The sequence below is a fragment of the Homo sapiens genome, chromosome 10 (genome assembly GCF_000001405.40).
Source record: "Homo sapiens chromosome 10, GRCh38.p14 Primary Assembly".
NCBI classification, from domain to species: Eukaryota; Metazoa; Chordata; class Mammalia; order Primates; family Hominidae; genus Homo; species Homo sapiens.
This window is the reverse complement of record NC_000010.11, coordinates 118,001,803-118,015,830: the sequence shown is the minus strand read 5'-3', so window position 1 is coordinate 118,015,830 and position 14,028 is coordinate 118,001,803. Positions and strand designations below refer to the sequence as shown.

Genomic DNA, 14,028 nt, shown 5'->3' with positions numbered 1-14,028 from the left:
TGAAATATTTACTCATCAGATGGCTTTGAAGTTTAGCGTCTTTTGGTTGCAGTCCCATCTAATGGACATGTTTCAAAGAAGAAAATAGTTATAGCATTCAGCTGTGATGTTTTCTTCTCTGCATGGGAGAAATCTGTGTTGTTTTGATTCGTTTCAGTATTTAAATTTTCAAGACTAGCTACTTAGAAATCACATTAACGAGAGAAATGTTTCCCACAATTCTGAATTTATTCTTATTGATAGGGTAATGTTTGAAAGCTGAGTTTTCTAACACTTATGGCATTTTTAAACAGATTGCTTTAACTCTTTTATTCTATAATCTTTCCAACCTAAATTTACTTAATTCTCCCTAGTTTTATATCAGAGGGCCTAAGGTGAGTGACTGTGTGTAAATATAATGGGAAATCTCTCACACAAATTAGTTTTGCAAAATATCTTGCTGGATAAAAGTGCTATGTTTAAAGTTGTTTAGAAACTTCCTATTTCATTCTTCAGTTCTGATAACTAAAAAGTTTTCCTTCAAAGTTTGAAATTGTAATGATGCTTTAAGAATGTTGGGGAAATACTGGATTTTTTTCTACTTCTTGGATTAAATTTCACTCCTCTGAATAATGTAGGGCTTTAGAAATTTGTATTACAATGTTGGTTAAAATTTTTCTATTTTTATGTTTCCTCCCACATGAGTTATGACACTTTTAACATTTGTTTGTGTTTTATTAGTTTTCATATGAGTCCAACAAGCAATGAAGACCTCAGGAAAATCCCGGTAAGTTGCTGAAGGGGTTAGAGGGTTGTCAAAGAGTAAGCTGGTCTTTTTCTCTGGCACACATTTCTAAAAATGCCTTTGTCTTCTTGCCTTCTGCCTCACTTACCTAAGAATTGTAGCTTAGCGTAGTAATTTTAGGAGAAAGAAAGAAAGTAAAATACAATCTTTGCCTTTAATATACAATAGGGTGTGACTCGTATGATCTATGAAAGTTCAAGCAAAATTGGTTATAATTGAAGCCAATTTAGAATATACATATTTTGTTTACAGACTTTTGAAATTAATATGCAAGCTGTATGTCAGGGTCAAATTTGTGGTTATGAAATAAGAGCACGTAGAAAAGACTATTTTTTGTTGTTGTTGGGACAAGGATTGAAGAAAGAATAAAGCTGCTTGTTAACATTCAACAATAGAAAAGCATCCTGGCAGGAGAGCCAGATAACCAGGAAAGTATTTGAAAGAACAAATACTTTAGGACACTTATCTTTCTCGTCAGAACAAAACCAAATATGTTAACAGGATTGGTAGCGACCACCTAAATCAACTCACGTATTTTGCAAGGATTATTCAGATAATCTGAACTTTATTGTAGTATTTGAAGTCCAGTATTTAATCTCTGTTCAGAGTTCCATTGCATCTGCAATCAATTCTAACTATATTAAACGTAGAGAATAAATTACTTTGCCAAAATATGGGCAAACGTTCTTGGTAGAAAACTAAATTCTCACTGAATAACAGAAATAGAGGCTTTATTCCAAGACACTGGTGGTTGCTGTTTCAACCATCTGTCCTTGATGTGTGCGATCCAGATGTATAGTAAGAATTTTTTTAGGCAATCCCATATCACATATCACTATTTTTTAGGATGTGACATGGCTAGAAGAAGCTAAGGTGGGTTTAGGGTTTATTTTCTAAACCATTCTAAATGCAGTTGTTTATCTTTAAAATTGTGGAAACTGTTACAGAAGCACAGGACTTTGTACTGTGTTTTTGCTGTTTTATTTAAACGATTCGTAAGTTTTGATGTTTTATAAATTCTCAAGTCTTTATAATATGGCAGTCTGGCGAGAAATGTGAGAAAATATGAAGTCAGCCTTTGATCAGATAGTAAAATGAATTCTATCAGGCGGTTACTTAATCTCAAACAAAATGCAACATCAAAAAAATCGATTTAATGTGTAGCTATTGTTTATTAAGTAACCTTAATTACAATTTCGATTGCTTGTAAATGTACTTTTCCAAATCTTGTAATTTATTGCTGTAGAAGCATCCTTAGAATTCTTTAAAGAAATAAAATGTGAAAATTGTTTTAGTTAAAGGATTTAAAGGTGATAAAAGAATCCTTGATGTGTGATTATTTTTCTCTGGAATACTAACTATTCTAAATGACAGTTAAAGGATTACTAGGTGTTGTTAATTTACTGCAAGATACAATTAAGAGGAGGAAGCGCATCTTCGTACTGATCATGATTGAAGAAAAGCATTCGAACAATTTTTATGTTGAAGATTATAAGATGTTTGAAGTAATTTACATTAAGTTCTCCAATAATAGCCATCCACCAAGTTATTTTTTCTCCCTCTGGACATAGTATTTTGTAATTAAGTTTGTATGTCTTATATGCTAGTGCCAACACCTGTCTGTGAAAGCACAGTGTTTAAACAGGAGCAGTAGCCAGTTGAAAGGGCAGTGTGAGCTCTTTAAGGCCTAATTAAGAACTGAAAGGGAGATGAAGGGAGTAGGACAAAAGATGTGAAAGTAGCTGAGATGATATTCCCAGAGCAAAGTTCCTCATTAGAACAATAATGAGATGATCAGAGAATGCCAAGCCTTCATTTTTTTTTCTCTCTCTCCTCTAGTTGCCTTGGATGTCAGTTAGTACCCCACCAATATTTGGTTACCAGGACAACCTTTCTTTAAATCTTCAGTTATTTTGAGTCTTGATAATTTGCTTTTGTTTAAATTTAAATATTGTAAAAAATGTACATTTCCTAGTTTAAAAGGCTAGACTGTGTAAAGCAAAAATAGATCACTAGCAGTTCTCAAAATCTTATGCAAAACTGTATTATTTAAAATTCTGGGTTAGAAAACTTCATGTAGTAATTCTAATATTTTCTTACCAGTCCACATCTTCTATGTCTGCATATGGACATTTTTAACAGAGGTGGAGTAGAAATGAGAAAAGGTTGGTTGTAAAAGGGGAAGAGAGAAGAAAAATTTACATTAAATTTCAAAATAAGAAAACATCTTAAAAACATAAGTGCTGTCTGTATGGAGTACTGTAAGAAAAAATATTGAGCACTTTGGAGTAACCATTGTAAGTTGCATTTGGTCTTTGCCAGTTTAGAGAGTTATGAATTTTGCAAGTTTTTGCAAGAATAATCTTTCGAAAAAATAATTTTTATATTTACCTGAGAGTTTTCCTCTCTAAAAAAATAATTTTTGTAATGAGCATATGTTTTAATTTTCTATTGTTTATATTACTTAATCATTATTTTATTTGGAGTTATATCAACAAACAGAAATATATATATATATGTGGAGTATATCAGTCAATTTAAGAATCTCATGCCTAAAATTAGAAGGTTTACATTGTTTTCAAATATCAGATAAAATCTGGAACTCAGCATGAAACTGTTTTTAATTATTTTATATTCTTTTCCAGAATATAATTCATAGTACATATGTTTCTAAGATGTTTTCCTGCCTAGAAACTTGATGCTAAAATTTGAGGTGAAATTTTCACATAAAAGGACAAACGGAAAATTTATTGAAAAGGCCAGAAATGTATTTCCAGGAAATCTGTCTACACATTAGTGTTAGATTGTTGTAAGGAAAAAAAAAATAATCCAAATAACATATCTGTGTATTCTAGAGTATGGCTATAAAGTATGACCAGTAGTCTGAAATAATAATTGATTATTTTGAAAGATTAAACTATTAATTTATATCATGGCTTTAATTTATATCAAAACACAAATTTTTGAAACGTTTTTCATCTTCAGTGTCTTTAGAGAAATGTTACAAAAAATTTTTAACTACATTAACTGGTAATAGTGTTAAATATAACAGTGCACTTTTATTTTAACTATTTCATAGCTTAATTAGTTTGGAGAAATCAGTTTATATATGTGTAATTTTATTAAGATTAGAGAGACTTGAATAGATGCTTTTATTATGTTAAATAAAGAAAAAGCATAAAGCAGTCAACTAATCAGTAATGAATCCCATTTAGCTTCCTTTCATTAATCCCTGCAATTCTCACAAGAACATGAATTTCTCAGTAAATGTTTTATTAGAAAAGTGAAATCACATTAGTTAGAGTTTATTAGTTTTTAAAGTGGGGTTTAGAAAAATCACTTGGTATACCAGACAATTTTAGAGTTGAAAGGGACCATGGAGAACATCTCATCTATCAGATAAGGAAAGTGAGACCCAAGTTGCTTTCTCTCTCAAATTTATGCAGAATTACTCGAGTTGAAGTAAGACACTTTAGCTTATTTTTAAGAAATTTCAAAAGTATACCGAACTCTACACTATGTCTTCTCTTTACTGTAGAAAACGGCTTAACATAATCTTTTATAAGAATGTAATTAATACTTATGTATCTCCAAACTATATATTATGACCAATTAAACTAGTAACTACGTGCATGAGAGTGTGTGTGTGTGTGTGCGCATGTGTGTAGACTTATAAAAGATTAATTGATCTGAGAGAGGAGGGAGAAGTAAAACAACACTTATCTCTAGAATTGTCCTTTAATGGTTTTAGAACAATATTTGAAATGTTTTTAAGGATGAAGGAAATATGACTGAAACTTACATCTGTTTCCAGTTTCTAATGCTAAAATAAACTAAGTTGTTTTAGACATATTTTATAGAATTTAAACTCACTTCCCTTTAATATCCTCTCTATTCATTCTTGCTAACTCTGGTCTTTCATATTTCAATAGCCCTATACCTAATCTTAGCCCCTCCAAATGATTCCACTGTTGCCATTTTACTTTTCCTGGAACATAGCTTTAATCATATCCTTTCTCTGTTTAGAAACCTTCAGTGGCTTCCTATTTTCCATAGCAAAAGTCTAAAAATTCTTTATACTACCATTCAGCATTCTTGGTGGTCTATTTCAAACCTTCCATTTCGGCCCCTGTCTGCTCGCTGTCCTGTACAGTATTTTCCAGCCATGCTCTACAGAGTACCTGTTATTGGATTACCTGTTGGCCACTATGCCTTGAGCCTTGTTTCCTTCTTTGAACAAGCAGAGTTCACTGCTTGAAATGCCCCATTACGCATTTCTGCCTGCAAACTCTTGAAGGCCTAGCGCAAGCTGTATCTTCTCCACAAAGCCTGAGAGATTCTATGAAATTGGAAAAGTTTTTCAGTCCTGAATGTTTTCACTTATCCTGGAGAAGTGGGTGTGCTTCAATGACCCAAGCATCAAATTGGTATCTGTACTCTAGCTTCTCTTTCTCTGGTCTGGTAAAGTCCTGGTTCCTTGGGCTGAGAGGCTGGGGAAGTGGTGAGGGCCAGTGAAAAGTTAAACTTTGGCTTTTCTCATGAACACCCCCAAATACATAGCACTATTAAAGTAGATCCTGAAAACAGGGAAGGACAGTTTAATTCTTATTGGGGGTGGGGGTCATTCTGCATTCACCAGTCCCCATTCCCCATCCTCCACTGAATAGATTAGATAGTATTCCTTAACAGCAAGAAAACCAATTTCCTCAATATTTTAGTTAAGTTTCCTTAAAGCCAAATGGAAATGTTTTAAAAGATAGTGATGAAAATTATTTTAAATTGTTGGGCTTAATGAGAGAACTATGATTTAAAAAGAATAAAAAATTGCTTAGTTGTAATTGGGCATTATGTTTTACAGAATGAAAACTCTTAATGCTATACACTATAAATAAAAGATTATGTTACAGGGCCTTGATTAAATTCCTGAGAAATATTTTTCTTTCACTTTTGATATAACATTAATATTAGAATGCTTTGTAATAACAGTGAATTAATAAGTGTCTTTTAAAAAAGATTTTTGGTTATATTTATGCTTTTGCCTAAAAAGAATTTTTGTCAATAGAATAAAGTTAAGTAAATAGATGAAATGGGAGAGAATGCAAATATACTAACCGTAGTATTAATATGGTTGAACTCTTGAGTTTCCTGATAACCAGGGTCAAAAAGGGAAAGAAGATAAATTAGATATTATTATAGGAGAAAGAAATAGACCAGTTACTCAGGGGAGGAAAAGTTCTGCCTGTTTCTAAATTAAAACAGAAGTTACTCACATGGGGCTTCCTGTAAGGATAATCTTTGATTTAATTCCGAGTGCTTCCATTTTCATAGCAAATTAGAAAAGATTTTTGCTGTAACCATCTTCACTAAGAAGCCAAACATATAACATTAAATCACAGTTCAGTGGAAGCAGTTTCATAAGGACACAAGTCCAAGTGTATAGTTTTCAGTTACTTCTTACAGTTCCTCTGAGTTAACTTTTAGAAATCTTTAGTTTTCATCTATTTTAGTTGTATTTATTATAGAATATTTCATCTCTTAATGTAATCTTACATGATATAACCAGTCTCAGATATTAGGAAATTGCCCACAATGTTAGAAAGGGTTTTAGGATTTAGAGTTATAGTCAAAACTTTGGTGCATCTGCCCTAGTTCTTGCCTCAGGACTGGCTAGCCAATTTGTGAACTGTCACATTCACTTTAAGCAAGGCTAGCGAAAAACTTCATCAGGGTTTGAAAAACAAAAAGTCGAAGTTCCAGGTAATTCTTAATGTTTGTCCCAGATGTTATATCTATGAAAGTGACAGTCTTTATCCTGTTCTAGGACAGCAACCCCTTTGATGCCACTGCAGGGTATCGTAGTCTGACCTATGAAGAGGTTCTACAGGAGCTGGTGAAACACAAAGAACTCCTTAGGAGGAAAGACACCCACATCCGGGAACTCGAGGACTACATCGACAACCTCCTTGTAAGGGTAATGGAAGAAACGCCCAGTATTCTCAGAGTGCCGTATGAACCATCCAGGAAAGCTGGCAAATTCTCTAACAGTTAATAAAGCCAATTGTATTGTATTGATAATTGGACAAAGAGAGAGAAAGAAAGAAGGAAGGAAGGAAAAACTTGTTACTGAAAGAGACTACACTATCAGGTTTCATTACATATTCTCCTTTATTGTGAAGAGTAGTTTTACCTGTAAATATTAGCAGGGACTATCAAGAGTGACCTTTGAAGCAAGCTAAATCATTTAAATGTTTAAATTGAAAATGGGCCAGATTCTCAATGAATAAGTGGTTCCTTAGGACTCACTCAGGTGCTGGTACTGACCCACTAATCTGCCATAGGCCCAGAAATATCTTCAGAAGTACGTGAGTTGTTCCTCAGGAATAGATTTTTCATAAAGCAGAATTGATCCTGTGGCTGGTTTCTCAGAAATCAGTTTGTAGAAATATTTAGCTTCAGGAATACTGCTCGTTATAAACACTACTAAAAAAACAGTTTATATTTTATATACACATATGTACATGAATATATATATATTCATGTATCTTGTATATAAAATATAGGCATATACCTCATATATACATGTGTTTTTAGAACATTTAGAAACAATTGATTGCCTCTAAAGTTAGGCTACCAATTTCTTGATTTGAAAATGTGTGTGCTCTATTGATGCAAGACAAGTCATCCTTCCTACTGTCATGGTTTGTTATAGAGAAGCTGCTTCAAATCACTCTTGACTACATGGACCTTGGTTTCAAAGTGAGCTGCTATATATTATTCTAGCATCAAAGTTTTTCTCTTTCCCCAAAAGTGATGATCTCAAGTCCTTTTTTAAAGAATGACAAATTTTAGGAGACTTCATTAACTTCATAACAGCATGAATTTATTTGAATTAATTAACATTTGAGTTTGTTTAAGGTATAAGCAGAAGATAAGCTAATATAGCTTGTTTTGTTGAAATTCTGCATGCCTTTAAATCACTAGCAAAGCAAATATTATAAAGTTATATCTGAAAATAATTGTGGGAAGTATGTGATTGCCTGGTGTGTCTGATAACCCAAAGCAGCGGGCAGATTCCAGGAATGAAGAATTAGGCTTGGTTTCAGGTTACATAAATAATAGAGCAGATGGTTGCCTTTGGGTCTTGAACCAAAATAAGACTTACTAAAGGAAGAGTGAGTTTTTAGAAGAGAACTTTACGAGCGTGACATTATGCATTACTCCACATCCACCCTTTAAGAATTGATTTATTACAAAATTATGTTCTATTTTAAAGTCCACTCCCCCAAAATACTGATTTCTTCCATGGATTATTTTTATATGATTTGTACAAATTTTTTCTGAAATTTAAATTGACAAGCAATGTTATAAAAATATTGCTAATCTTCTGCTTATTTTTCAGCCTTTAAAGTCTGAAATACTATAAAACACTGAGAGTATCTATGTCTTTCTGAATTTAAAATGAAAATTCATGTCCATATGGAGACTTACATATTCCCCAATCTTTCCATGAATTGCATTTTTTTCTAATACTTATCTCTGTTAAGACTCCATTGAAAGTTAAACAAAAAGCCGATATAATAGTTTGGGTTTTTTTTTTTTGCTTATTTTAGTATTTTGAATCAGAGAATACTTGGCCAAGCTCGTATTTGTAAACTAAAACCCCTTGTTATTTGTATCTTCTGCATTTCAGTTTTACTGTAAGAACATACATTTTGAAATTATGAACATTTTTTTCATAAAAATTAAATGCTTTAAGAAATGGAGAAGGAAAAATAGCTTTTATCAATTTTTTTCTCCTCAAGATTCTGTAATAAACCTCAAAGTCTGGTGTAGAATGGTATTTTCCCGTTTGAGGTCTTGGTAGTTTTTTTTTTTTTTTTAAACATGGTGCCACTTTTAATTAACTAAATGTTACAAAATTCTCAGCATTTGTTTTTGTCTGGTAGTATTATTGAGTCTTTTCATACACTTCTTAAAATGTGAAAATCTATGTTTTCAGTATTATGACAGTATCTGCAGATACTATAATAATATGCTTTGGCCAAATTTGCTGTTTATAGAGTGAACCAAGATGTCAGTTTTGTATTGGGGATATGTTTTACATAAATAGAACTCATTTAAAAGTATGGTTCAAGTACTGCTCTTCTTTTTATGGGGAAATTGATTTTTAAGGAGCGATTCTTTTCCTATATAAAAGCTATTGAGGCTTAGCTTTATTCATACATGAGTGATTTGGTTATAACTCAATCAAAATTTTTATCTTTAAATCTGAGACAAGTATTATATTTAAAACTAGATCTATTAATACATTCATCACTGCCTGAAAATTTGCTGTTCTAATGTTTGTGAATTTTCACTCATTACCTAGAGTAAACTTATTGCATATTTTCATAATCAGTCAAAATAATAAAACTAAAAACAAAAAGTAAAAATTAGTTCCCAAGTAAATATATCAGTGTTTCCTGTGTTTGGGCAGAAGTGCAAAGTAGTTTTAATTTCTCACGTTGTAGAAAAAGAGGCCAAAAAGGTCACCTTAGTTTATTTTTCCAAAACATAACTTTAGGTATTCTAATGTATTTTGTTAGTTGCTTAGAAATGGAAATAAAATATATGTGCTTATTAAATAATGCACAGTACACTAGATTATAGAGTTTATTTTTGCTTTTATGCTTTAAAGAATGCATGCCCAAAACACTACTACCAACAAGAGGATTTTTTAAAATCACAGAATTGATATTTATCTCAAGACTATCTTAAGCTAATGTACTTCTGTTACATAATTAAACTATTTCTGCTATTATTTTTAAAGCAGTATTATTTTATAACCAATTCTAAAATTCAGCTTTAAAAATATTGAACATACCTTCCTACCACTTACGCTTCAAGTTTCATTTATTGAATACCAGGGTCATATCTTAGAATTGTATATAAAACAACATGTAACCCATTCATGAAAAACGTTTTTAAGTATTGCTTTTTGCTGCTATGTTCTGCATTGAGCCTAGTTTTGCCATTGTCCCCTGAATGTAGTATTATCTATAGATTATACATAACTACATCTATTGCTTTTGGTGGTAAATCAAGATTTAGTTGTAATTTTCCAGCTGTGAAAATGTTGCCTTGTATTTAAAAGGGTTTCATGAATGGAAACCTAAGTAAAACTAAGCTCATTAGTGACAGACTTGTTTTCTTCTTGTTATTCCTCCAGCAACTCCCTCACCACCACGCCTCCCTGCCTACCATCCCCGGAAGGGTGCTTATTCTTTAACAAAGAGAATCTAAAAAAAAAAACAAAAAACTGTTGTCTAATATATCTACAGTAAATGTTACACTAGAGCTTTTATTTTCCTCTGTAGCTTTTCAGAAGAAGCAATTTACCTTGGATTTGTAAATCAAGCTGAAACTTTTTTGATGTTCATGTACTCATATGTCTTGTAGGTGGTAGGTGTCACTTGTGTGTATGTGTAAGTGAAGTATGATGCATGCTCATTCACTTGGTCCCTTTGAAATAAGGGAAAGGATCACAGTGCTGCTGGGCCATGATGGTATGTAGAAGGGTCTGTCAGCACACATGGAAAGCCCCCATTTGCACAGATGTAGAACTTTAATAATCCAGATGCAATCATTGGAAGTATTTAATATGCAATTGGTAGCACCTTAGCTAATTAATCTGCATATGAAGCATTTTCTGATATATTTAATAAGAGGTATAGAAGCTCTTCAAGCATTAAAATAGAGTTGATGTTTCATTCCATTTGTTTTATCCATCAAAAAATGCACTCTCACAGTGGAGTTGAAGTCTAATACATGATACATGTGGGCCTGTTAGTCTTCGAAGCTTCCAGATGGTTTGTGTTTTGAGGTACAAAAAAATGCTGCAGATCTAGAAATGCATATATTTAGCGGGTATTTGAAAGATAGAAGCATTATTTATAACTGAAGAGTATAACACTTATCTTCTTAAGTAAATGCTCTCATAACTTGTATACATTTTTGCAGGTACAAATTCAAAAGTATGTAAGCATTGTATAATGTGACAATTGTATAATTTATGTAATCTGATGCATGAATCAGAATTTTTATATAATATATGATTATTGACTTATAGTTGATTAAAGTGTTTAAACTTAATTCAGTTGTCAACATTTATTACAGATACAGCGGTGTTACCATAATGGATTTATATATGAGTCCTCCTTGTTTTTTAATAAATACCTAGGATGCCTCTTATTTGGTGTATTGTAGCACATATTCTGTAAGACCTACAAACTTATTTTACTATGAAGATAGTTCTGAAAAGTCATTCAAAAGAGTAGTTTTTAAGTACAAGTGAACATTCTTCAACAAATGTGTGGATGCCCTCTACATATAAGACATCCCCTCATAGGGATGGAGCTTACGATTTAGTAGAAATGATATTTGAGTATTTATATATAGGCTAAGGTCTCTGCTGAGTACTTCCTATTTATGCTTTATTTTATTTCTCACAACAACCCTGTAAGGTAGGGAATGCACAAGCTTTCAGAGGAAATGTAAGAAAACCTTTTGTGGTACTGAAGAAAGTAGAATAGGGTTGGTACAGCCGGTAGCATTTTTCACCACTTCTTATCCTCCAGCATCTACCAGAAGTCATTAATCAGTCACCACTTCCAGTCCCCTCAACACAACAGTCTAAGTGCATGCCCCTCCATCCGAGGTATGGGTACATTTTTATGGCAGTGTATTAGGCAGTTGTATTCTAGATTATGGGACATGAACCATATGTAGTCTTAGACATAAATCATACATATTTGGCACAAGGGATTTCTCAGCAGACCAGAACGCCTTTCTGTTCTGGAATTGTAGTCCCTTCTGGAGGCCCGTTGAACCTGTCCCTCTACTTCTCCCAGCACATCTCCTTTAGATTCTTCTTTCCACCTGCCCACAGCATGCACGTTTCTTTTTCCTTACTCTGCTGAGGCAAAAATATTTGGAGTAATTTGGAAGTGGAGAGCTGTTATGAGTCTGTTAAGGTGGCCATTTTTCATGTAGGGCTTGTGACCTAAATGCCCAACATTTGACATTTTTCCTCAGATAATTTTGCATGATACCACAACTTCATACTTTTATATTTTTATGATTATACAGTTAATACTTATAAGCAATATTTAATTTTGTATTTATGTACCTATAATTACATGAACTAAAAGTGCTTAATTTTGATCTTACAGTCCTCACACCCTAAAACTTGATTCTTAAATGTTCAGTGGTTTCATCATTTGGCATACTGAAAAGCGAAATTTATGCTAGGAAGCACAAAATCAAATTTCTCTGTCAGAGGATTTCAATTAATGGTGTGTTGTGTTCAGATGTAAGGTATGGTATGGTTGGTCACTAACATTAGTACCAAAGTTTGCGCGTAATTTTTTAAAATTAGAACAATGTAAAGATTATTGCTATGATAGTGTTACATTCTGTTATGCTCTGGCAAATGATGGAAAAGTGTGTTGAGAGTGAGACTGGGGGTTATGTGCAGTTCCCAGCAAACTTTCTCATTTGTGCTGCAACCCTTAGTGCAGGAATTGCAAACTCAAACATTTACAGAGCCAGGAAGGTACAGTGGATGATAGGGCAGGTGGAGTGGAAAAGAATAGGGATTACTGAGGACAGTGGCAATCTGGAGAAGCTCATTTTTTTTCCACTAAAAAGGAGCAACAGCTGTTCAGCTCCAGCTCATTGTGGCCATTCGGAAATGAATGTAAGTCCAAGATTGCTAAACCTGATCTTTCTAGAGAAACTGAAAGTAATACAGATTTTGTGAAATATGATTTCCAAATGTTGGCAGTTAACTCATTTTCTTTTTAACCAAAAAAATTTAAGGGCCACCTGTTTGCAATCTCTTTTTTTTTTTTTTTTTTTTTTTTTGAGATGGAGTTTTGCTCTTGTCGCCCAGGCTGGAGTGCTGTGGCTCCGTCTCGGCTCACTACAACTTCCACCTCCCAGGTTCAAGCGATTCTTCTGCCTCAGCCTCCTGAGTAGCTGGGATTACAGGCGCCCACCACCACACCTGGCTAATTTTTGTATTTTTGGTAGAGACAGGATTTGACCATGTTGGCCAGGCTGGTCTCGAACTCCTTACTCAAGTGACCCATCCGCCTCAGCCTCCCAAAGTGCTGGGGATTACGTGAGTCACCACACACGGCCTGCAGTCTCTTCTTAGTGAGTCAATATTTCTGATGTAACATCAGTTACCATTGTCATCATGGTAAGAACAGTTTGGAGGAGGGTTGTCGTTTACTTCCTCCCCAAGTGATTTTGTGTTTAATCAAAAACTGGGTTGGCTGAGGAGCATGTGGGGTGTGTGTAATATGTTAGACTGAGAACAACCCGCCCAGGACTTCAGGGATGATGGGGGGTGGTGTTGAGGGAGGAAATAGAGAGTAACTACTCAATGGTTATAAAATTTCACTTAGCACCATGAGTAAATTCTAGAGATCTGCGGAACAGCATTATGCCTGTAGTTAACAATACCATATTAGACACTTAAAAATTTGTCAAGAGGGTAGATCTCATGCTAAATGTTATTACCACAATTTTTAAAAATGTAATTTAAAAAAGACTTTCTCCAGTATACTTGTCTCTGAGCCTGACTACAGTGACTTTTCAGAGAACAGTGCAGGTAACCAGAGGTCCAGTCTGAGGGTCACTGCTTCTAATGTTTAAAGCGTTTTCAAGTGTTATCCTGGGATCTGTCACATACTCTTTTGTGGTAGTTTTGACTTTTCAATATCTTACTTATGATGATCTTGTCTTTTTGGTAAAAATTGTATAAAAATTACTGGTGTCCCAAAGATCACTGCACGTCTGTTGTGCTAAGGTCAAATCACAGCTATTGTATGACAATTTTCAGTAATAGAAAGTGAATAGATTTCCATGTGACTTTTAGGGCATTAAATACATATTTCAATTAAAATATAATGGCCACTGATTTCATAGTTTAATCTTTACATCGGCTATTTAAAATTCACTCATGCTTTTTGATCCCAGCCCTGACACTGGTGCTCACAGTGTCATCCCCAGGGCAGCAATGTCGACGTCACCTGGAAACTTGTTAGAATACAAATTCTCAGGCCCTACCCAGACCTACTGAATCAGAAACGCTGAGGGTAGGACCCAAAAAGTCATTTTCACAAGCTCTCCCAGGTGGATCGAATGCATATTCAGATTTGAGAACCATTGAGATAGGGACCCTGTCCACTCTTTTC

At 33.7% G+C, this 14,028-nt stretch overlaps 1 protein-coding gene across 2 annotated transcripts in view; it reads left to right on the top strand.

Annotated features, from left to right (window-relative positions):
- Positions 1–10,915, top strand: part of RAB11FIP2 (RAB11 family interacting protein 2) — a 42,026-nt gene extending 31,111 nt beyond the window's left edge. For both annotated transcript variants that reach the window (NM_014904.3, NM_001330167.2), the window contains 2 exons: positions 721–766; positions 6,606–10,915. In NM_014904.3, coding sequence (NP_055719.1) covers positions 721–766; positions 6,606–6,833 — 274 coding nt within the window. In that variant the 3' untranslated portion in view covers positions 6,834–10,915. The remainder of the gene's footprint in view (positions 1–720; positions 767–6,605) is intronic.
- The last annotated feature ends 3,113 nt before the right edge of the window (positions 10,916–14,028 follow it).